General features: G+C 36.7%; 1 protein-coding gene across 14 annotated transcripts in view; it reads left to right on the top strand.

Annotated features, from left to right (window-relative positions):
- Positions 1–24,095, top strand: part of VAV3 (vav guanine nucleotide exchange factor 3) — a 394,020-nt gene that overhangs the window by 293,167 nt on the left and 76,758 nt on the right. For 2 of the 14 annotated variants that reach the window (XM_005270361.2, XM_047430555.1), the window contains one exon: positions 2,542–3,175. The exons of the other annotated variants lie outside the window; for them this stretch is intronic. In XM_005270361.2, the coding sequence (XP_005270418.1) occupies positions 2,542–2,630 (89 nt within the window). In that variant the 3' untranslated portion in view covers positions 2,631–3,175. Of the gene's footprint in view, positions 1–2,541; positions 3,176–24,095 lie in introns of those variants that run through there. 14 annotated transcript variants of the gene reach the window in all.

Genomic DNA, 24,095 nt, shown 5'->3' with positions numbered 1-24,095 from the left:
TTACAGGTGTGAGCCACTGCACCCAGTCTAAATTTATCTTTTTTGTTATTGCATAACAACCACAATTATATTGTGTACTTTTTGTTTTGTGCTTTATTATACACATAGCTTGCTAAAATTGTAAGTTATCTTGTGCAAAGCATGTCACAATACATGTTCTGTATATATAGGAAATTACGTTTTAAACAAATATAAATACTTAATATTGAAATAGTCAGTTTTGTTTTGTTTTTTTTGGTAAAATATGACAAACTAAGCCTAACTTCCCCAAGGATTTTCAGAAGTAGGAAGAAAAATATTCTATGGCTCTGCCTTTTGAGTTCAGAGTAGCTCCTCCCGTTGTTCTTATTTCCTTTTGTACATATGTGTCTCCCTTTATTTTACAAATCCTCCTCATCTTAATTTACTCTGCTGCTCCTGGGAGTGAGACTAGACCTATTATTTTAAAAGAGCTTTAGTTTTAGTAATTCTTCATCTAAGTATGAAAATTTCAACTTCTACTTTATTTGAAGTATGCAGTAGATATGTTCTCATTTCAAAAACAGTGTGGAGATTCTACACTTTCAAGTTCTAATTTGGCAAGTCTTATATGTCATCATGAAAATATTAGGTGTTTAATAAATAGACTTTCTTGGAGAAGTCGGTTGTAAGCAGGTAGAATAATGACTTTGGATTCCTGCCTGGCATGTTGCCCCTTATGATCTGTTCACAGAACGTGCTTCTGGATGTCCAGATATTAACCGTTGTGATCATAGCTACCTCTTATATCAAATGCCCCAACAAAATCGTGTGATGTCTTCAGTTCAGGACAGAGCTTTCCTTCTTGGGAGTAAGAATTACTCTTTCAGTTTGTCTAGAGGACGTGAACATGATTAGATAAACAAAACATGAAAGTGTACATATATTTCTCTACCTCCACCTACCATTATAGGCCTAACATTATAGCTTTTCACTCCCAGAGGAAGAAACTTTGCCATTTCAAAAAACTGTAATGCCATGCTTTGGGGATCCCAGATTTAAATATTTTATGCATCTTCCATTTAAATTCAAGCAGTATCCAAGAACAGAATCTGGCCAATGATTTTGAGAAAACGAAATGGCAACACCTTCTTGGAACCTCAAACTGTTCAAGGATTTTTTTTTCTAGCAAAACAGGAAGAAATTGGGGGAAAAGCATATGGACTCAGGTTGAGCATATGATGTATTTTCAACTCGAGTCGGCACTTTACTCATATTTGTAGTGTGACTTAAAATTAATTTGGGTGAAGCACTCAGATTTGAGGGAGGAAAAAAAATCCCTATTTGGGACTAAGTCAACATTTGTGGCATCTCATTAATCGCTGCCTTATGTAACTGCTTTCCCCACCTAAAGAGAAGCTACTGGGATGAGAAAAGTTTATAATATTAATGCCAAGTACAGATCTTGCCTCTCCCAAAAGGAGTTCATTAATCACCATCGAAGCACAAGAACAAACATACTTCATGTCTCTTGCCAGTTTTTTTCAATAACATTTCTGAAAGGCAAAAAAAAAAATATGTTTAATCTTCATTTGCAAAGGTTTTAATTTGGCTGTTATTTAATTTGTGATAATGTTATGTAAATTTAACATGCTCTGAGAATGCCCAGGCATAGGGTATAGAAGTAGAGTGTGTTGGTTAAGAGTTTGGGCCCATGGATCAGAGAGATCTGGATCCAGATTCTTGGCTTTGTTACCTCCTCTCTGTGTGGTCATAACACAGGCAAAGCACTTCAAGCTCAGTGCTTGCTTGGCACGAAATAGCTGGCAAAGAGCCAGCAGTGATGGAAATTCTTACTCTTACTGGTAGGAAGCAGTATGGGCATCAAGTTTGAAAACATGACTTTCAGTCCAAGCTGCTGTGCAAATCTTTGGACAATTTAATAAGCCTCAGTTTTCTAATCTGTAAAATGGAGATGAAAATACTCACCCTACCCACATACACTGGCACAAATGATATAATGTATTAATCAAGATAGAAAACTGAACCTAGCCATGGCATACAAAATCATGTCATATAATTTTGAAAAGTGCAAAGTTGTGAAATCATCTTTATTTTGCCATGTATCTCAGATTCTCAACTGTAACATTATTTGGGTGATCAGTGTGTAGTATTGATTATATTTTAGTGTCAGCCATGTAGTTACTCTCTCCTCTAAGGAGTTTTTTATTACCATTCACTGGAAAATACACAGCTTTTTCTTTGCAATTATTTCTTTACCTCTTTTCTTCTGCCTTCCAATTTAAAATTCATGAGTAATACAGCACCTCACGAATAGATGAAAGGGATGACAATCTAAAAAAAAAGAAAAAACTAATGTAAACCTCATGCTGGAAAACAGAAACACCAATTTAAACAATCATAAATAGGAAAAACAAAAAAACCTGTTGTGCAAGAAAAGGAGGCTCTAGTCTACCTTTATTTACAACCATCAGCTACCGAGTATCAAAGATAGGAATGGATCCATGGTGAAATTTTCAGGCATTCTTGAAAATGTGTTTATTTCTTTCTTGTCTTTATTAGATGTGCCCTGTCTCCTTCATTTCTTTATTTCCATGGCCCCTGCTACTAGAAGCATTGTAAAAAGCCAAAAGAAGAACAAGAAATTCTGAGGACATGGGTGAAAATGCAGCCTTGAGGTTTCTGAAAATAACAGGAGACAGACAAGGCTGGTGTCCAGCAACAATACTGGGTAGCTCTTTTTGTCCCCACTTACACAGCGAAGGATAAAGAAGAGATCCTATGGACACTTAGTAAGGATTACTTCATGTTTTAATTCAAAGTACTTTGGAAAGAAGACTTTGAGCAGAGTGGAATAGCAGGAGGTTTTTGTAAGGTGAAATAGAATGAAAGTGCAGCCAAGAATTTTTCTGTCTTCAATTTTAAAGAACACCGGCATAACTCATTTTTCTTTTTTTCCCCTGTGTTCTTTTTGACCTTCTTAGCAGCTCCTGACTTTCTCCCTTGGGGATTTTTCTCTGTATAGTCAGCGCTGACTCCCTTAGAAATCCTGAACCCCACACCCGTATCGCGAAAGAGTTGAAGAGAATTCAAATAAACACGTTGAGATAAGTAGCTTGTGAACTAACTGTTACAGCATGCCTCTGTAATAAGATACTGCCAGCTAGAAGCTAAAATAAAGTGAAATTCCATTTAACATGTGACAATCAAAACTGTATGTTTCTCCTAAAAATATAAGCTAAAGTTAATGTTAGACATTAGAAATTCATACTGAAACACCTACATTCATTTAATGGTAAATTTCTTTAGAATTGTTAGTTTCCTCCTCTCTAGACTGTCCAAACATAGTTCCTGGGACCACGCCTGTAGTTTCTTTCTCTCACTACAATGAGGAAAAAGTTGATGGTTTGCTAATCTCTTATTCTACACATTTCATTGTACTCCATGACTGCAAATTCATCTTTGTATGATTTATATGTCAATCAGCATGTTGGTGAAGTAGCCATGGAATGAATGTTAGAGTGATATTTGTTGATGTACTAGAGGTTTTACATGCTTTATTTTTAATTTCACAACAAAGCTGTGAGAGGTATTATGCCCATTTTACAGATGAGGAAGCTACACTGAGAGTTGTGACAGGTGTCCAAATTCATGTAAGTAATAAACGCTGAAACTGAGCTTTAAACCAAATCCTTATAAAACTTCCATATATGTGTTTCCATAACTAGAAGAAGCATTGTATGTTTTTAACTAATTTAGCAGTCTTGTAGGAATGCATTCATTAAATCAGTGCACTTTATCAGAAGATTTATTTTTTAGCCAGGCTGGCTACAATTATGGATCATGCCAGATGCTCAATGGAGGGAGGAAGTGAGATGAAGTAGGCTAAAGAGAAATAATCTTGGTCAGATTGAAGAAGGATAAGCACTCTTAATTGTCAATATCAAATGAAAGGAGAAATATGACCTTGATGTGAAGGCTTAAGGCAGGGTTGCTATCATATGACTGTCTGGGTCCTGGATGAGAGAGGACCAGCTGAGGTGATTGGAGAGCCTGGGAAAGAGCTTCTCGGAAGGGCCCAGTTGGGCAAAGGGCAAGCAGACACTGCAGATGGCCCCTCAAGTCTCTGCCAACCTTGGGATGCTACGATTCCAAGCAAGGAAGGAAGCTCATTCCACATAGAGTTTTAGATCTTTCATTAGTGTGCCTTTGATTTTAACGTGATTAGAAAATAAAATCATAGCAAAATATCAGGAAATGACCCCAAACTAATGTAATAAATGCTGCTTCTGTTTGTTTTTTATACTGTCTTTTCCCTTAATGTCTTCATTAAGATTTGTGTAGAAAACAGGGTTTTAAGCAGGATGTTGCTATTTTAAATAATTTATAGAGGATGATTGTTTTTCTGTGTTGTGATTTGTTTGTGTGTGTGTGTGTATAATAATCCTAACATAAACCATCATCAGCGAAACCATCACTAATGATAGCAATAAACCTTATCATAAATTCATTTACATTATTTTGTGTAAAAATTGCATCTCATTTCCTAGGCACATATGGAGACATTGTTGGATTATATTTCCTGCATTGCTACCCCATTACAGGCATGCTCTTACATGCATGTGTGGGTGGCCAGACAATATAAGTGGTTAAAAAATTAGTTTTGTAGTTAGCATTGCACAGCTCAGTGCTTTTTCTCACTACTTAGCAGTGTACCCTAGTCCATCCTTTGTTACTGGGGGTGTTATTAGCATCCACCTTCCAGAATTTCTGTGTATTGATTAACTGAGAGACTATATTGTGGAACATTAGCACAGTGTCTGGCTCTTTGTCCATACTAATAAATGGTAGATATTAGCATCACCTGATTTTTGCCACCATCTATACATTCCTGGAGCAGAGGTATAGAAGGTGAGCTAAAACCTATAGAGGCAGCTTCTGGATACCAGACTCTCGAGGCCATAGCCATGCTGTTGTCTTGTTTTGATTTTAAGTGTCCAGATCCATTAGAGCAGAGGCAGCAGTACAAGCTGCTGGCTCTTACATGTTTGGCTTATGATGCCTTTTTGAAAATCAATGATACAGAAACTCCAGAGCTAGGCTGCCTAGGTTTGAATGCAGTCTTCACTATTTACCAGCTCTGTGACCTTGCTCAAGTCACTTAAACCCTCTGTACCTTAACTTCTTTAAAATGGAAATAATAAGACCCACTTCATAGGGTTGTCATGAGGCTTAAACGAGTTAATATATACTAAGGTCATAGAACAGGGACTGGCACATAATTTATATATATACAAATTAGCTGGGTGTGGTGGTGTGCACCTGTAGTCCCAGCCACTCAGGACGCTGAGGCAGGTGAATTGCTTGAACCCAGGAGGCAGAGGTTGCAGTGAGCTGAGATCGTGCCACTGCATTCCAGCCTGGTGGCAGAGTGAGACTCCGTCTCAAAAAAAAAAAAAAAAGTCTCAAATGATCTTGCCATAGAAGTATGAAAGGGAGTGAGGGATCAGAAGCCACGGTGATCTTCTGTGCTGCTTCTGGAAATAGTGGCTCCTGGTCCAGACATCACAGATTTCACCTACCTGCCATAGTTAATGGCCATCACAGTCCTGAAAGCCCACACACCAATTTCCAAATTGCAGATATCACCTTGCTTCAGGTCACTCTGGCATTCTCCAAGAACTATATTTTTGAGAAATAAGACATTAACTCTTATATTTTTTTCCCTTAAGAGTAAGAACATTGTTCGTTATTCATGAGTGCCAGTAGCCAGTTCTGTGACTTTGGTAGCTCATTTAACTTTTCTGGACATTATTTTACTCTTGACAATTGGTGGGTTGGATTTCATGATTTCAAATACCTGTTCACATCTTAGTATCCTAATATTCTTTCTACAGTGAAGAGGAAGGGTAAGGTGAAGGGCTAAAGGAAGATAATGTGTGTGGTGAAAATACTGGCATAAAAACCTCTATTCTTCAGGCCACGTGGTGTTACTTATGAACATAGTGACCTTGGGAGCATTTTCTGAAAATACTCTTCCCCCTCCCTGTTTTGATTCTGGAATAGTTTCCTTTTTCCTCACAATTCTACCTTCCTTCAACAGTTGCATTTACAGATAATATCCTTCACCGTTTGTTTCTTTATGCATCACTAGTGTGTGTATAAAGCAGAGATGGCAAGAGCTGCCATGCATTTTGGCTGTGTGATTTTGCAACCAGGAGACGACCTAGTAGGTATGCAGCAATACTGACATGGAGAGATCCCTCCTCCCTCTGGATCAGGCTGGGACAGAGTGTTTCTAGTATTGGCCTGCAAGACACTGGCTCTGCCCTCAGCAGGGATGGCTGTGTGCAGTCAGGTATGTAAAACTAGTTAGCTCCCACCCTTGACCTTGTCATATGACCGATCATATGAAAGTGTATTTGTGAGCTATAATTATTGAGGTATCTGCCTTATCTCCCTTGCTAGACTGATAGCTCCTTTGAGGACAAACACCTGGTCTTTATCTTTACATTTCCTAGGGAGATTTAGTGCAGAACCCTTCACACAAAAGTGTTTAGCAGTGCTGTACCAAGGAGGGTGGATACAATGGGAGTAGTCTACCTACTAGTGGGGAAGGATATTTTATCACTGACATTGCTGAGAATTGCTGGCCCATGTGATAAGAAAAACCAAACCAGCTTTGATTAAAAGACAGTTTTATTATTGTTTTTAAATTATCCCCAGACAATGCACCCCTTGTTGTCCAGCCTGACATGAACCACTCTCAACCCCCATATTTTCCCACAATCTAACCCTTCTTCTACACCACTGGTATTTAGTAAATTATTATTCAATTTGTCAGCTGTTGTAATAGTCTCCCAATTGTTCGTCTTGCCTCCAATCCTGACTTCTTTTATTGACTCCTCCAGACTATCAGAAGAATGATTTACCTAAAGGAGAGACAGCATGGCCTCTCCTACTTAAACTCTTCAGCGCATACTCAGAACCAGTCTACAGTATATTAACTATAAAAGGCCCCCAGGAGCTGATTCATACCTAACTTATTTCTACTACTCCTGCAATAGCAGAGATCTGGTAATTTTCCACATGTACTGAATTCTTTCTTGCCACTATACCTTGGGTCATGCTCTTGTTTCTGAACAAAATGACTTGACTTCTCTATTTACTCTACTTCTATATCTGGTTAATTCCTATTTATCTATCATTCATCCATCTAAACTTAATTCCAGTATTCCCTCTTCCAAGAATCCTACTTTATAATACTCCATATCTGGTGTGCATTGTGGGTCCCTCTCCCATGACAACATTGCTATAGTATTTTTTTTAATGGTCTGGGTGCACATCTACTTTCTGCAATCTTTCATAAGCTCCTTAATAACTGGAGCTTCATCTTTTCATATTTATACCCATGGTATCTGGAACATAGCAGGTGATCAGGAAATATATATTGAACTGAATTGGAAGCGCAACTTTATAAAAGGGAACACTGGTTTGTGGTGTGAAAATTCTTTAACCTTTTTGAAAAGCCGACCTATGCTGCTGCTTCTTATACTTTGAAAATTAAGAAAATGGTTTGTTCAAGCACTGTAGTTCTCACTTATAAGTAGGAACTGAACGATGAGAACATGTGGACACATGGCAGTGGCGAGGAACAACACACACTGGGGCCTTTTGTGGGGGGTTGGGGAGGGAGAGCATCAGGAATAATAGGTAATGGAAGCTGAGCTTAATACCCAGGTGATGGTTTGATCTGTGCAGCAAACCACCATGGCAGATGTTTACTTATGTAACAAACCTGCACATCTTGCACGTTTACTCTGGAACTTAAAAGTTGAAGAAAAATAAAATAGGAGGGGAGGGCAAAGAGTGATTGTACAAAACAAGGTGAAAAATTTAGAAAACATTATGTAATAGCTAATGTATGCTTATTAAACCATTAAGAAAGAGAAGAAAAAAAGAAAATGGTTTGTTAATGAGCCAGCAGTCCTATTTTACTAATTGCTTATTTTTGAGACTAATGTACAAAAATAATGAAAAGCATTACATTTGAGTATTGGTGAGCCCATACTATCTTTGTTAATTTTTTTCATATCATAAGAACAATTAATAAAAGATTTCAAACCCACAGCATCATAGAACACAGACATGTCTTATAAAGTGATATTTTGATAAATTTTGCAAGAATCTTCAAGTGAAAATCATTTGTCTCTAATATCAACCACTTAGAGCCAAATTAGAACAATAGGAGTTTCATTTAAGATCCATAAGTAGCTGCAGTAGAGTATTACTATGACACTATTTGCTGAAATTATAAAGGGGAATTTGCTGGTACCGAAAGTCAAGGCAATCAGATTTTTCAGCGGAGGTAAAATACTACCAAATGCTTCATTTTGCAAATTGGCATTTTTTTCTTTGAAGCTCTGACCACTTTATAGGCAATTATCTTGAATCATGTGGCATGTAAGTCTGCTTATTACATTCTTCTAGCTATAATATGTTTGGTGAAAGAGCTTATCAAACCATTTTTTTTTCATTATATTCATTTTCGATCCAAAGTTACCAAGGATTCAAAAATCTAGAGAAAGTTTATGGGGGTTACAGAAGACCCAGAGATATTTTCAAAGCCTTTCCAATAGAATACTATGCATATTTATTTTTTTAAGAGTAATATTTGGACCAGAAATACTTGGTTTAGGACAGACATTTCTCATCTTTCTTTCATTATAAAGTTATTTTAATGACCCAGATTTACACAAGCCTGTAAAACAGTGTAGAAGTCTGTATCTTAGAATTCCATTTGAATATCTGCAAAGGGAAAGTATATTTTTAAGTTACTGAATACACTTTGCATTAGGTAATTATCACCCTCAGATGTTTCCAATTAATCCTGACTAACCAGATGAACTAGAGTAACACAATATTCCAGTCTTAAATACGTTTTTTGGTTTATACAAGAATGTGGATTTACCGCATATATTCTTAAAACATAAATTCTTCAACATATTTAAAATATGCTTAGACTTGTAAAGAACTGTAATTGAAAACCCAGGGAAGCTTCAGGAGGACAAGACCAGCCTGGAGCAGCCCGAGAAGTCGATGTGCAGGTCATTGCTGTGGATAGTGAGGGTTTCAGTGTTGGGGAATTTCTGCTTTCTGATTGACACCTGCCCCATTGTGAAAGTGCTTTCAACTGCTGGAGTTGGATAAGGTTACCAACTTTTAGCTTCATTGCTTTGCCCCTTATTCATATGACTAATATGTCTTTTTCTACCCATTAGGCCCACAGAAAGTGTGCTTTCGTTAGCGTTTTTCTGGGAAGTATGGTACCTCGCAGAGCTTTCATTTGGTTAGTAAATGTTCTTGCTAAAACGTCAGCACATAACCTGTCAATCTGGTTGCATTTGGGCTATAAGAAGCTTTAAGACCAGTGGCCTTGAATAAAATCCATTCAACTCTTAGTGCTTTTAATGAAATAGAAAAGATAACTATTGGGCCTCTAAAAACATTGATCATTGAAAAACAGCAGCATTTGTGCTCTGGAAATGCACTGTGTGTGTGTGTGAGAGAGATAACTTATATCCCTGTGACATTATTGTCTCCACTTGAGGCAGATATTTTTTTTTCCCTTATAGAAATCCTTTCAGGAAAAAATCCAAACTGAGCAGAGTAAAAATTGAGACAGTATTCTTTTGTGCATGTTTTTTGAGCTTCCCTAATGTTTTAACTTTATAGTTTTTTTATAAAAACAATTTGTCATATTTTAAAATGCAATTTTAATCACTCGGAGGAAGGGGACTAGGTACATTTGTATTCATGTCGTGTGGGGATATAAGTTTGTTGACAGTCTCATTTTGCAAAATGGATTTAATGCTGAAAAAATCATAGCAATTCATTTTTTAAAAATAACACAGCCTCTTTAAATACAGTGCTCTAGTTTTCAAATTTTAGGTCTATGCCATGTAAACAATTATTCACATTATGAATTAAAATTCTGTTTGCTTACAGAGCAGCTTAATTCTTTTGCTTATAGGCACATAGTGACTTGAAAATCTAAGTAATAATTGTTCATTTAGGAGAGGAAAATACCTTCCTCAACTAATCTGTAATACCAACTTAATTTTCCGTGGTAGGTAGGGAAATTCGGTATCACCAAGTCCTGTAACATGTTAGATATACAACAGAACCACAGTTGTAATGATGTTGTTCTAAGGACTTACAGTCTAAAGCCATTCCTTATTTGAAATAGAGAATTTGACAACACATATACACGCAGAATGGCCCCATATTGTCATATTTGTACAAGCAAAATTAGTCAAGAAATGCAGAAAAATTTTGTTAAAATTATTTTAAAATATATTCTTTAATGATAAACATGCACATATGCTTTCATTTATTTAACAAACTTTTATTGAGAGATTATTGGACACCAAACACTATACTTTGGATAAACAATTGAACAATTTCATGGTCCCTGGCCTTGTAAAGCTTATATTCAAGTGGGGAGAAAGCAAAACAAAATTAATATACAAGTTATGTTAAATAACTATAATAAAAATTCAGAAACACAGTTGAACAAAGGAATGTTCAGTGTATCTGCCTGGGAGGGTTGCGAAGACATTGCAGAGGCGGTGCCCTTGAGGGATTAGAATGATCCGAAAGCATAGCCTTGCACTGTGGAAGTGAGTGGTTTACTTCGCGGAGGATGGTAGCAAGCACTTTGGGTGCATAATGGGTCGTGCAAGAGTGGCACCTCTTGTGTGTACATGTCACAGAGCTGCCCCGTGAAGGAGGCTGGTGGGGACTGAGCTCCAGCTAGCAGATCCTGGCATGGGAAAGTGTCTACCCTGGGGCAGAAACTTTTGTTAAATAATATTATAAAGTTAACTACATAAAGTTTAGAAAATCCATATAAGGAAAAAAGTTCTCATAATTTTACACATCAGATGAAACATTGTTAATATTGTGGCCTATGTCTTTATGGATTTTTTTTCTGTACTTCTTTATGTGTGTGTGTATATAGATATATTTAAAAACAAAAATGAGGTCATCTTGTATACACTGCTGCTTGTAACTTGATTTTTTCCCTCAACCATATGTTTGAACATTGTGCCTTCCCTGAACACTTGATGAGATTATGTCCTTTTGGTTTGTGCTTCCGTAGCGTTTGCAATTTTTCTAATGTAAAACACATAATGCTTTGTAATATTTGCCTGTATAATTTTCCTTTTCCCTGTTAGACTCTAAGTTTTTGAGGATAAGGGAAAAACTGCCTTGTTTATTATGTTGTTCACATTCCAAGCAGAAAATAAGCATTGGGTGTGTTTTTAAAAAAATTAATATGCATAGTGATGAATGAATGCCTTAGGAAAAGATGAACAAACAGAAGCTGAAAGCTGAAATACCAACAAATTATCTCCTAGGATCTCCTTCACTTTGCAGCCACAGTGAATGATGTGTTCCATAAAAGGGAAAATGGGTGTAAAGTGAAAGCTTCAGTCTGTCAGACAGGGAGGCTATAAGGCCAGTGGTCTGCCTTGGCCTGGTGCGTATTTCCGTCTTTCTTTCTGTGAAGAAATAGATGGATGTCTATAGGAGCTGCCACATGAGTTAGTTTCTTTTCTAGTTACCTTGTTTCAAAGCCAAGGGAGCCAAATCTCAAAATGCCTTCCCACTCACTTGGATAATTAAGATGAAAATAACAATTATATAACTGTGTAGCAGAAAAGAAGTCTTTAAGTTTGGCACCTTGAAAGCAGTGCTCACTGTTGCCACTGGTACTCGAAAAGTAATGACTCTGTGGGAAAGGTCTGCAAAGAAAGGAATCTCCCTTTCTGAGCATTGCAGGGTTCAACATGCTATGACCTGAAACTGGAACAAGTGAGAATAAACTGGGAAAGAAAAAAACATGGAGTGGGGAAAGAAGTGAGTAAATTGAAGGTGAATTAGATGATCCGTGGGAATACTTTTTAGATGCCAAGGAATTTTCATTTCAGTTGTAGGAGAGATTTCCCTGATACATCATGGCATTTCTGAAGCTTTCCTGTGTCTTGAGGTGGGGGAAAGGGAAGTATAAATGTTTGCCATTAAGAATTTGGTAGTATTCTGGTGATTTATTCATTAACATTGTGCGGATGAGGGATGGAAAAGGTCTAGTTTAGCCCTCACCACTCTCCCTTTTGTTTCTCATTGGAGATTTTATTACCCAATCAATAGATTTTACAGAACACTATTTGCAGGTTTTAACTCATGTATAAAAAGAAGCCTTCAACAAAAACCAAGTGCGGGTAACAGCATATCCTTAATACCAGCATATCCTTAATACTATACATAATAGCTGATGTATAGTAGAAGCTCAGTAGGCATTTCCTAAAAAATATGACTAAATCGGGATACATTTCTGTAGATTCCAAGAAGGTTATGTAAAAATACAAAATATTTTTATGTTTATCTACATATATAGTTAAATAAAAATAAAAGCACTTCCTCATAAAAAGAACAATCACTTTGTCAGTGCTTCTGCATACTTTAAAGAAGAAACTTTGGAATCCCAGGTGGTTCTTTTTTTGGACATTGTGAAGAGCTGAAGTCTATAGGATTCGTAGAAATGTAAGTAGTTATTTTTAACAGGACCATCTGTGGCCATTAATATATTTAGTAAGGTGAATTTCTTTGATGAATTTATCTAATCTCCATTCGCATTTCCTATGTATAGTTTTGAAGTAACAAGTCAGGCCTTTTATACTTTTTTTTTTCTGAAAGATGGTATTTTCAAAAATATCTTAACATAAAAATGCTTAGCCTCCAGGTCTTAAAAATATAAAGGATTCCCTATTTAATAAATGGTGCTGGGAAAACTGGCTAGCCATATGTAGAAAGCTGAAACTGGATCCCTTCCTTACACCTTATACAAAAATTAATTCAAGATGGATTAAAGACTTACATGTTAGACCTAAAACCATAAAAACCCTAGAAGAAAACCTAGGCGTTACCATTCAGGACATAGGCATGGGCAAGGACTTCATGTCTAAAACACCAAAAGCAATGGCAACAAAAGCCAAAATTGACAAATGGGATCTAATTAAACTAAAGAGCTTCTGCACAGCAAAAGAAACCACCATCAGAGTGAACAGACAACCTACAGAATGGGAGAAAATTTTTGCAACCTACTCATCTGACAAAGGTGTGATATCCAGAATCTACAATGAACTCAAACAAATTTACAAGATAAAAACAAACAACCCCATCAAAAAGTGGGTGAAGGATATCAACAGACACTTCTCAAAAGAAGACATTTATGCAGCCAAAAAACACATGAAAAAATGCTCATCATCACTGGCCATCAGAGAAATACAAATCAAAACCACAATAAGATACCATCTCACACCAGTTAGAATGGCAGTCATTAAAAAGTCAGGAAACAACAGGTGCTGGAGAGGATGTGGAGAAATAGGAAGACTTTTACACTGTTGGTGGGACTGTTAACTAGTTCAACCATTGTGGAAGTCAGTGTGGCGATTCCTCAGGGATCTAGAACTAGAAATACCATTTGACCCAGCCATCCCATTACTGGGTATATACCCAAAGGATTATAAATCATGCTGCTATAAAGACACATGCACACGTATGTTTATTGCAGCACTATTCACAATAGCAAAGACTTGAAACCCACCCAAATGTCCAACAATGATAGACTGGATCAAGAAAATGTGGCACATATACACCGTGGAATACTATGCAGCCATAAGGAATGATGAGTTCATGTCCTTTGTAGGGACATGGATGAAGCTGGAGACCATCATTCTCAGCAAATTATCGCAAGAACAAAAAACCAAACACCGCATGTTCTCACTCATAGGCCTGTTATTCTTTAGCTATATATTGTATTATTGTGTGTTTCACGTTGAACGTACTTTATTGAGGCCATTAATTTGAAAGGAAGTACGGTTTTCTTTCATTAGAAAGAGATATTGAAGTATTGTGCCCAGTAGGTAAATTGAGGCAAAATGGCATTTATTGAAATGTTTACATCCTCATATAAATTCTATGCCAAAATAAAAACTAAAACCTACATTGCAGATTTTCTAGTCGTATTTCCTCTCGTATGGCTGTACTAATAGCAATTAGTTAGCAATTTCTCTTCCATGACTGTACTAATGATTAAGTTGTTGAACATAACATTTTTAACAACACCAGTGAAGCACCTGAAAATGCAACTGAATAACAAGTATGAAAATGCTGTTTTAATATCCAGTTCTGTTTTATGTTTATAATTAATAGAACTTTAATCATAATATGTGTTCTGTGAATCCCAGAGAATATTTTGCTACAATCTTTGCATGGAATCCTGTGTTTTGCTCTCCCTATGGTAGCTGTGTGGAACTTCAGTTGACCTCTGTGGTAGTGTCATGCTAGATCAGAAGTAATACGTCCAAAGTGATATGAACCACTGTGGTGTCTAAGACAATATATACCCAGAGGCAACTCTCGGGACAAAACGTCAAAAAGGATTAAGTTCCTGTGTATAACAATTCTTTCTTAGCCGTCCTTTTCTATAGTGCTCATTATTTCCTGAGATAGCCAGAAAGGGAAAATTAAGAGAACATAGGCCATAACATTTGAAATTCTTAAAAAATAAAAACTGATTCTTATTTGTAGGCCATGATTTAATACATGTGGAATTTTCTTATAAAGTCCCCTTTATACTACATTGACCTAACTGCTGTTAAATTGTTTTGTTTCATAAGCTGAAGTCTTACTTTAATTATTCAAGATACAGAGGCCGGGCGTGGTGGCTCATGCCTGTAATGCCAGCACTTTGGGAGGCCGAGACGGGCGGATCACTTGAGGTCAGGAGTTTGATATCAACCTGGCGAACATGGTGAAACTCCATCTCTGCTAAAAACACAAAAATCAGCCAGGTGTAGTGGTGCATGCCCGTAATCCCAGCTACTTCGGAGGCTGAGACAGGACAATTGCTTTGAACCCGGGAGACAGAGGCTGCAGTGAGCTGAGATTGTGCCACTGCACTCCAGCCTGTGTGACAGAGCGAGACATCGTCTCGGAAAAAAAAAAAAAAAAAAAAAAAAAAGGATTGTCTTGACTGAAAATGGGAAATGTGTAAATGTGTTGTGTGTTGTTGTATATGCTGAGGTCAGAAGTTAGGCTTATATGCAGGAGTAATGTTTACTCTTTTTCTACTCTTGGGAAAGACTGTCATAGGTGGTCAGAGAGGAAAGGACATTGCAGGCAGCACAGAGAGCTAGGATAATTTCCTTTTTTATATTTTTATTTTTATTGATATATAATAGATGTGCATACTTTTGGAGTACCTGCAATAATTTGATACACTGATATAGTCACATCAGGGTTCATTGGGATATCTACCACCTTATGTATTTATCTTTTCTTTATGCTTGGAACATTTGAATTGTGCTTTCCTGGCTATTTTGAAATATGCAATGGATTAATGTTAACTGTAGTCACCCTACTGATCTATTGAACATCAGATCTTCTTTCTGCTAAGTATATATTTGTACCCATTAATCTCTTCATCTGCTACCTACTACCCCACTTCCCAGCCTCTGGTAACCATGAATATACTCTATCTTCATGAATTCCACATTCTTAGCTCTCACATAGGAGGGAGAACATGCAATATTTGTCTTTCTATGCTTGGCTTATTTTACTTAACATAATAACCTCCAGTTCCACTCATATTGCTGCAAATGACAGGATTTCATTCCTTTTTATGGCTGCATGTATGGCTGAATGATGTTTCATTGTGTATATATGCCACATTTTCTTATCCACCCATCCATTGATGGACACTTAGGTTGATTTCCATATTTCGGTTATTATGAATAGTGTTACAATAAGCAAGGGAGTGCAGGTATCAATTGAATATATTGATTTCCTTTCTTTTGGCTATATACCCAGTAGTGGAATTGGTGGATCATTCTGTAGTTGTATTTTTTAGTTTTTTGATGAGGCTCTATACTATTTTCCATAGGGGCTGTACTAATTAGCATTACCACCAATAGTATATGAGGGTTCCCCTTTCTCCACACCCTCACTGGTGTTTGTTATCCTCTGTCTTTTTGATAAAAGCCATTCTAAATGGGGTAAGATGATATCTCACTGTGGTTTTGATTTTCATTTCCCTGATGGTTATTGATATTGAGAATTTTTCATATACCTGTTGACGACTAATATGTCTTTTTTGAGAAATGTCTACTCAGATCTTTAGCTCATTTTTAAATTAGATTATTTGTTTCTTCTTAGTTGTTTGAGCACCTTCTGTATTCTAGTTATTAATTCCCTGTCAGATGAATGTTCACAAATATTTTCTCCCATTCTCTACATTGTTGATTGTTTCCTTTGCTCTTCAGAAGCTTTTTAGTTTAATGTAATCGTGTTCTATTTTTGCTTTTGTTGCCTTTGCTTTTGAGGTCTTACACAAAAAACCTTTTCCCAAACCAGTGTCCTGGAGCATTTCTGTGAGGTTTTCTTCTAGTAGTTTCATAGTTTGAGGCCTTAGATTTAAGTCTTTAATATAGTTTGCTTTGATTTTTGTATGTGCTGAGATATAGGGGTCTAGATTTTTAGTTCTGCATATGGGTATCCAGTTTTCCCAGCACCATTTACTGAAGAGATTGCCCTTTCCTCATTGTATGTTCTTGGCGCCTTTATCAAAAATGACTTGGCTGTAAATGCATGGATTTATATCTGAGTTTCTATCTGTTCCATTGGTCTATGTGTCTGTTTTTATGCCAGTGCCATGCTGATTTGGCTACTATAGATTTGTATTATATTTTGAAGTCAGGTAGTGTGATATCTCCAGCTTTATTCCATTTGTCCAGGATTGCTTTGGCTTTGTGTTATGTTCAGGTGCTTTTATAAACTGTGATTGAACAGTTGTGCATGTGAACTTTGTGCTAAGTGTCACTGGTGTTTTAGTTGAGAAATGAGGCAGAAATAAAAGTTTTATTTCAGTGTGTCATTTCTATGTATAACTCTTAATTTTACCAGTGGACTGCCTACCAGATGATTTATAACTTCTTGGCACAATTTGTTATTATTTTAACATTCTTATTTTTCTTTATAGCCTACAGTTTACATTTTTATTGTTGTATATTTTTATTATACTTTTAGAATGTAGGTACTATTTCATTATTATTTTCATATGATTAGAAGCCAGTGTATATCTAACATTTTCCTTTTCCCTGTTAGACTCTAAGCTTTGTGGGGATAAGGGAAAGGCTGACTTGTTTGAGTAGCTTGTTATGCTACATTTGAATAAGTGAAAACCATAATATAATTTTGGTATTTAAAGTTGATTAAAGAAACTCTTTATGTAGAAAAAAGATGGGAAACTAAAAATTTGGGGAGATAATTAGACTAAGGATAAAGTGAGGGAAAAAGGAAGGAAGGTCAGGGAGAGAGTTAGTAGTTTTCAGATTGATGGTTGGGGGAAAAATATTGAAGTATCAAAGGACAAAGCAATACCAGTACTATTCCTAAAGTTAATATTCACCTACATTTCAAATATTTTACATTGAAAAATTGTAGATGACAAAAGCTTATAGGATAATGCCTTAAATTTTTAGTATTCCCAATTAATTTATAGGAAGGAGACAATATATATTTCCAATATTATAATCCCAGGGTTGTAGAGATTTTGAGACTAAATCTCTGAAATTCCTACAATAATCTAAAGGATTTACTGTTGTCTATAAAAGCTATCATTCTCACTAGAAAATTTTGAGTCTGATTTCTTTTCCAGCTTTCTTGGAAAAGAGTAGTGATGCATTCATTAAGTATTGAAATCTGAAATAAGTACTTGTGACCTTTCTGTAATCTAATCTAAACTTATTTTTCTTGGTCAATCAAAGATTCCACCGTTAGTGGGTAACAAAGTGCTTTTTGGAAAGAACACCACTTTTGCTTTTAGCTAGAATATGCAACTGGACTTAAGTTGCTTCATATGTAAATGAAAATATTTGGCTAAATAAGAACCTTCTTTGACACAGGCACTGTGCTAGCATGTAGTGTTTTCGTGGTCAGAACAGTACTACTTCAAAAGAATACACAACTCAGCATGGTTTCAGATGTTTTCCCCTCTCTTTATTATAGACACTGTTAAGAAGGAATGTTCCTGGGAAGGGAGCAATTTTTTCAGTTAATGTATATTCATAGGTAAATATGTTGGTGGTTGACACTTGGCCCCAGGGAAAGGGAATTTAAAGGAAAAATTTTATCTATTTTCAAAAAATGAAGACACATAGTTAGCCTCCTCCTATGAAACATTGGTGGCTTTGAATAATAGTTATACATTTGCTTGATTTTAAACTGATAAATGTATATATTCACTCTGCTCATGTCTGAATCCATAGGATTGTAACTAAATGGTTCTATCTGACTTGAATTCCTTTTTTCACTTCAGAAAAAGGTTAAGGAGGAAAACTTCAAATAAAAATAAGGGAGGGACTAAACCTTAGAGTTACCTGTTAGATATTGTGGTGATTGCGGATCCTCAGAGTTTGAAAGTGGACTCATAGAAGTTTACAATGACTGAGCAGGTTAGAAATTCTTCCAAGTAAGTATTTTAATTGTAGCACCATTTTATAAATAAAAGACTACTCTTCTGCATTTCCCTTGTTCTATTTCAGAAGTTTGTTATGGAAGAATGTTTGTAAGAAGGGTAGAGAGATTGTTCAATTTATGTGCATTTTTCTGTAGATATGTTGATAGTTGTTCTCTGAGCTAAGGGCTCCATAGCCTCTTTAAAAAAAAAAATCAGCACATCGAAATGATGGTGCAGAGTCATTTGCATTCTCTGAAACTTTGCCAGTCAGAAATACCAATTGCACATGCTCTTCATTTTAGCTTATAAATCAATAAACCCTGTCTGCATGAATCTGAATCTTTTGGGAATGCATCTGAATATGCTCTCTACTACTCAAGCAGAAGATCACAGGAAGGAGGGAGGTCAAGAGAACAGAGAAAAATAAAGAAAAGCAAGCAAATAATTGAGTGTATAGGAAATAAAAAAGTTGGGTGTTTTTCTTTAACATAAATGATGCAAGTCATCTCATTTAAAGTGTATTCAGGATGAGTATAAATTATTAAGAGGGCCTTAGTAAGAACCTTTAAGGAATATATTAGCAGTTTTACATGTCAAAAACAATTTTATTTTTTTGGAAAATGTCAGTTACACTTAGCATATTGATAGTTGGGTAGAAGCACAAATAAATAAAAGTAGTTTAAAAGCAAGTAAAAACTAATGATCAAGTGGCAGTTTGTTTCTATAATACCAATAATAACTGAATATTTGTATCATTAAAAGCTAAATTTGGCTATGAAAATAAATGTTTATCATACAAATTTAGGCAATATAAATATATATATGAAAACAAGAGGAGATAGATACTAACAAGTAAACAGATAACTATGTGAATTGCAAGTTCATAATGTAGACTGCCTTGGCTGGACCTGTTACAGGAAAGGGGTCCCAATCCAGACCCCAAGAGAGAGTTCTTGGATCTTGCACAAGAACTAATTCAGGTGAGTTCATAGAGTAAAGTGAAAGCAACTTTATTAAGAAAGTAAAGGAATAAAATAATGGCTACTCCATAGACAGCGCAGCCCCAGGGACTGTTGATTGGCCATTTTTGTGGTTATTTCTTGATGATTTGCTAAACAAGGGGTGGATTATTCATGCCTCCCCTTTTTAAACCATGTAGGGTATCTTCCTGACATTGCCATGGCATTTGTAAACTGTCATGGCACTGGTGGGAGTGTAGCAGTGAGGACTAGGAGAGGTCACTCCCGTGGCCATCTTGGTTTTGGTGAGATTTAGCCGGCTTCTTTACTGCAATCTGTTTTATCAGCAAGGTCTTTATGACCTGTATCTTGTGCTGACCTCCTAGCGTATCCTGTGACTTAGAATGCCTTAACCGTCTGGGAGTGCAGCCCACTAGGTGTCAGCCTTATTTTACCCAGCTCCTATTCAAGATGGCGTTGCTCTGGTTCACTCGTCTGTGACAGACCTACTTGCTCCAGGTATTTAAGGAACCCTAAGAAAGCATGACTAAAAAGAGTGAGCAAGTGTGAGGCTGGAACAAGATGAAACTGGAGAGTTATCAGGTGCCAGAAAATATATAGGGTCTTGTATGCAGTGACCAGGAGTTCAAATTTAATTTTAAGTGCAGTGAGCAAGTTTTTAATAGGAAACTTATTATATAATTTATTATTTTTTTAATCAGGCTGCTGTGTGTAGGATGGTCAAACATTATAAGATTGAATGAGGAAAAGCCAATTAGAAAGACAGTGCTTGAACTGGGAGGTAGAAATGAAGGTGGCAAGAAATGGTTTGATTAGAGAGAAATTTTAGAGATATAATCAAGTATATGTGCATGTGTGTGCACATGCATATTTGGAAGGGTGGCCTTTGGGAGAGAAAGGGTCCCTCCCTCCCTCCCTCCCTCCCTTCCTTACTTTGTTTCTTCCTTCCTTTTTGAAAAAAAATAAATAAATAATTGAGATAAAGAGCACAACCTATGGCACCATGGTGTTTGGTCACAGTCTAGTAGATATAAACTCTGTACGAAGACACAAAAAAAAGGTGCTATAGTCTGGTACCTACACTTTATACTAAATAAATACTGTTGGTGTATTGAGTGGTACTGAAGCAAGAAGATTGAGTATCTAAAGGAGTGTATGTTTAAGGCACTTAAAATGCACTTAAGGGAATGTTGGTAGGTGTTTTAGTCTGTTTAGGCTGCTCCAACAAAATACCATAGACTCTGTGGTTTATAAATGACAGCTGACAGTTCTGGAGTCTAAGAAATCTACAATCAAGGTGCCAGTAGATTCAGTGTCTGGCAAGGGCCATTACAGATGGCTGTCTTCTCAGTGTTCTCACGTGGTAGATGGGGTGAGGGAGCTCTCTAGGGCCTCTTTTACAAGGGCAGGAATTCTGCACATGGGGCTCCACCCTTGTGGCCTAATTGCCTCTCAAAGGCTCCACCTCTTTCATTCATGTCCCTACAAAGGACATGAACTCATCATTTTTATGGCTGCATAGTATTCCATGGTGTATATGTGCCACATTTTCTTAATCCAGTCTATCATTGTTGGACATTTGGGTTGGTTCCAAGTCTTTGCTATTGTGATTGGAAATCATCATTCTCAGTAAACTATCGCCAGGACAAAAAACCAAACACCGCATGTTCTCACTCATAGATGGGAATTGAACAATGAGAACACATGGACACAGGAAGGGGAACATCACACTCTGGGACTGTTGTGGGGTGGGGGGAGGGGGGGGAGGGATAGCATTAGAAGATATACCTAATGCTAAATGATGAGTTAATGGGTGCAGCACACCAGCATGGCACATGTATACATATGTAACTAACCTGCACATTGTGCACATGTGCCCTAAAACTTAAAGTATAATAATAATAATAAATAAATAAATAAATAATAAAATAAAAATTTAAAAAAAAAGGCTCCACCTCCTAATACCATCATGTTGGGAATTACGTGTCAACATATGTATTTGGGGGTACATAAACATTTAGTCTATAGCAATGGGTTTATTAGTAGAAATTATATATGAGTTTTAAGGAGTGAGAATAGTAGTTCAGATTATTTTTTCCCTTGGGTTGGTGGATGAGCTGAATATTCAGACATCAGTAAGTATATGCCAGGAAGAAGGTAAAGTATGTTAATGAGAACTTGACCTGTTCAATAAATTTCAAGTAATTCACAGAATGAGTGTAGGAAAGGAGTAATAAAATGGGCCAGACCCTCAAGACTGCCTATTATCAAGTTTAAATTTTATCCATTGCTTTCATGCAGTGTCACTGACCTTTTTTCTGTCCCTCAAGTACTTTCAAGTTCTTTCCAGTTTCAGAGCATTCACGCATATGGCTCAGTTTGCCTGTTACATTTTTCCTCCCAAATGCCTACTGTCTTCTCCTCAGGTCTTAACCCTGACCTGATGGCCTACCCTTAAATAAAGCATCCCCCACTCCACACACACCCCTGTCACTCTCTAATCCAGAATCTCTTTCTAAGTGGTTCTTTATGATACTTTTATCTGGTATTATTACATTGATTCACTTGCTTTTGTGTTTGTCTCCTCCACTAAAATATGAGCTTTATGAGGGAGGGATGTAGTCAGTCTTATTTATGGTAGCATTCACAGTGCAAAGCCAATATCAATGCATGAATGATCTGTAAATATTTGCTGAATAAGTGAATGAACCCATAGAACAAAGAAGGAAAATTAGGTTCTTGCAAAGTGCCCTTAATCATTTTTACTTTTACGCTGTTATCTTCTCCTTTAGATATCCTTTATGAGTGGACTGATAATGGTTCATTTTGGTTGCGAGAAAGAAAACATGCTCAGTTGCTCTGGGAGCTGGGTGTTTATGGTAGGAGGTTAACAACAACAAAAAAAAAGCCAAGGGGATCATCTCAATAATCACTCTGGACCTCAGTGCCTTAGAAGAAGGGAAGAGTACAGGAGGCTTTAAGGGAATCTTTCTGGACCAACCATTTTATAAACTAGTGATCTCAGTCATCTTTTGTTTACAGAAGTCAGAAATTGTTCTTTGCTGACTTAGATATCTGCCTCCTGCTTCCATGTTCTGTAAGAGCAAATATTCTTCAATGAGTGCTGCTCCTTTAGACTGTCTCTCTTGGCCTCCTCTTCAGCCGCTGGTGTCTCACATGTTAAGCCTATTTATTGCAGTCTTTGAGTTAAGTTAATCACCAGCCCTGAATTACTTGGGTGTAGTCAGATGAGCAGAATAATGTGGTTTAGGTGATAATAACCTTATGTAGAAAGAACTCCCTGTGGCTGCTAACTCACACGTCCACAGAGCTGCATACAGACGTGTCAGGCTCTAAGAGTTCTACAGATTGTCCAATACAGTGCTTGCTTTTTTTTTGTTTGTTTGTTTTTTGAGGGCTTTTGAGGCTGTTTTTAGAATATATTACTGGGAGTTATTACCTTCCTCCTGGAATTTGCCTAGTATTGGTGAGCTCTCAGTTGTTCACCACTTGAAGAAAAGTTCTACCTCCTCCTTTCCTGCTTCCCAAGATAACACCAGACATGTGGCGGGTACTCAGATCATCCTGAAACATACATCAGCCATGTCAAGTGGCCTCTTTTCTACCAGTCTCATTCCCTGTAGGTTGCATAGAATGACCAACCTGAAGTAGGGAAGCCTGAACTAAGAGTCTATAAATTGGATTTTTGTTCCATTTTTGCTTCTGATTAGCTGTTGACTTTAGACAATTTATTTTAGTATTTAGTTTTATAATGTGACAAATAAGGTGGTTAGACTAGGTGACAATACTCTGTAAAATTGTGTAATTGTGTTCTTTTTCTATCTTTAAAGAAGATGATAAGATAGCTCAGGGCTATGCTTCTGAAACTGGATTCCTTACATCCCTGGGAATAGCTGTTTGCCAGGGGTCTGCCAAGTACATGGCATTTTCTCCTGAAGCTTTGACCTTAAATATTTTAGGGAAACATTTTTTCCAATAAAATGTACATGTATAACAGAACAGAATGTTAAATTTGCATGGATTTTCAAGTAACACATGAAATTTTATAGTTATTTTATATTTGGTAGCCTATAAACACCTTTTTAATAAAGGTGAAAAAAACTTCCAAAGACATTATCATATCTTTCATCCTTGATTCATGATTCACTAATACTCCAGTAGACAGTGCCAAAGAGTGACTAGTCAGTGGTTATGAAGTTGAAGGAAGGCATCTCTGCCTCATCCTTGTTTTTATATGAGCTGTGACAGTGCTATTTCCATTATTTGAGTCATCATTGTTTATAAAAATAATGTAGGCTTCTCTGGTGAAAATTTTAAAAATTATTGATGGGGAGTGTTCCCTTTGTGAACAGTCAGTTCTTTAGACCAGTTTGTTTTCCACCAAATTGCCTGCTTCTGTTGTAGCATGGAATTTTTCCACCAAAATTCTATGCCGTGGTTCCTTTTACTCCTCTCTGAAGACCAGCAGATCAATGAAAAAGTCATGCTTTCTTAGAAAGAGCCCTATAAGCTGTGATGTCAGGGGAATC

The sequence above is a fragment of the Homo sapiens genome, chromosome 1 (assembly GCF_000001405.40).
Source record: "Homo sapiens chromosome 1, GRCh38.p14 Primary Assembly".
NCBI lineage: Eukaryota > Metazoa > Chordata > Mammalia > Primates > Hominidae > Homo > Homo sapiens.
This window is presented reverse-complemented; position numbering and strand designations above follow the sequence as displayed.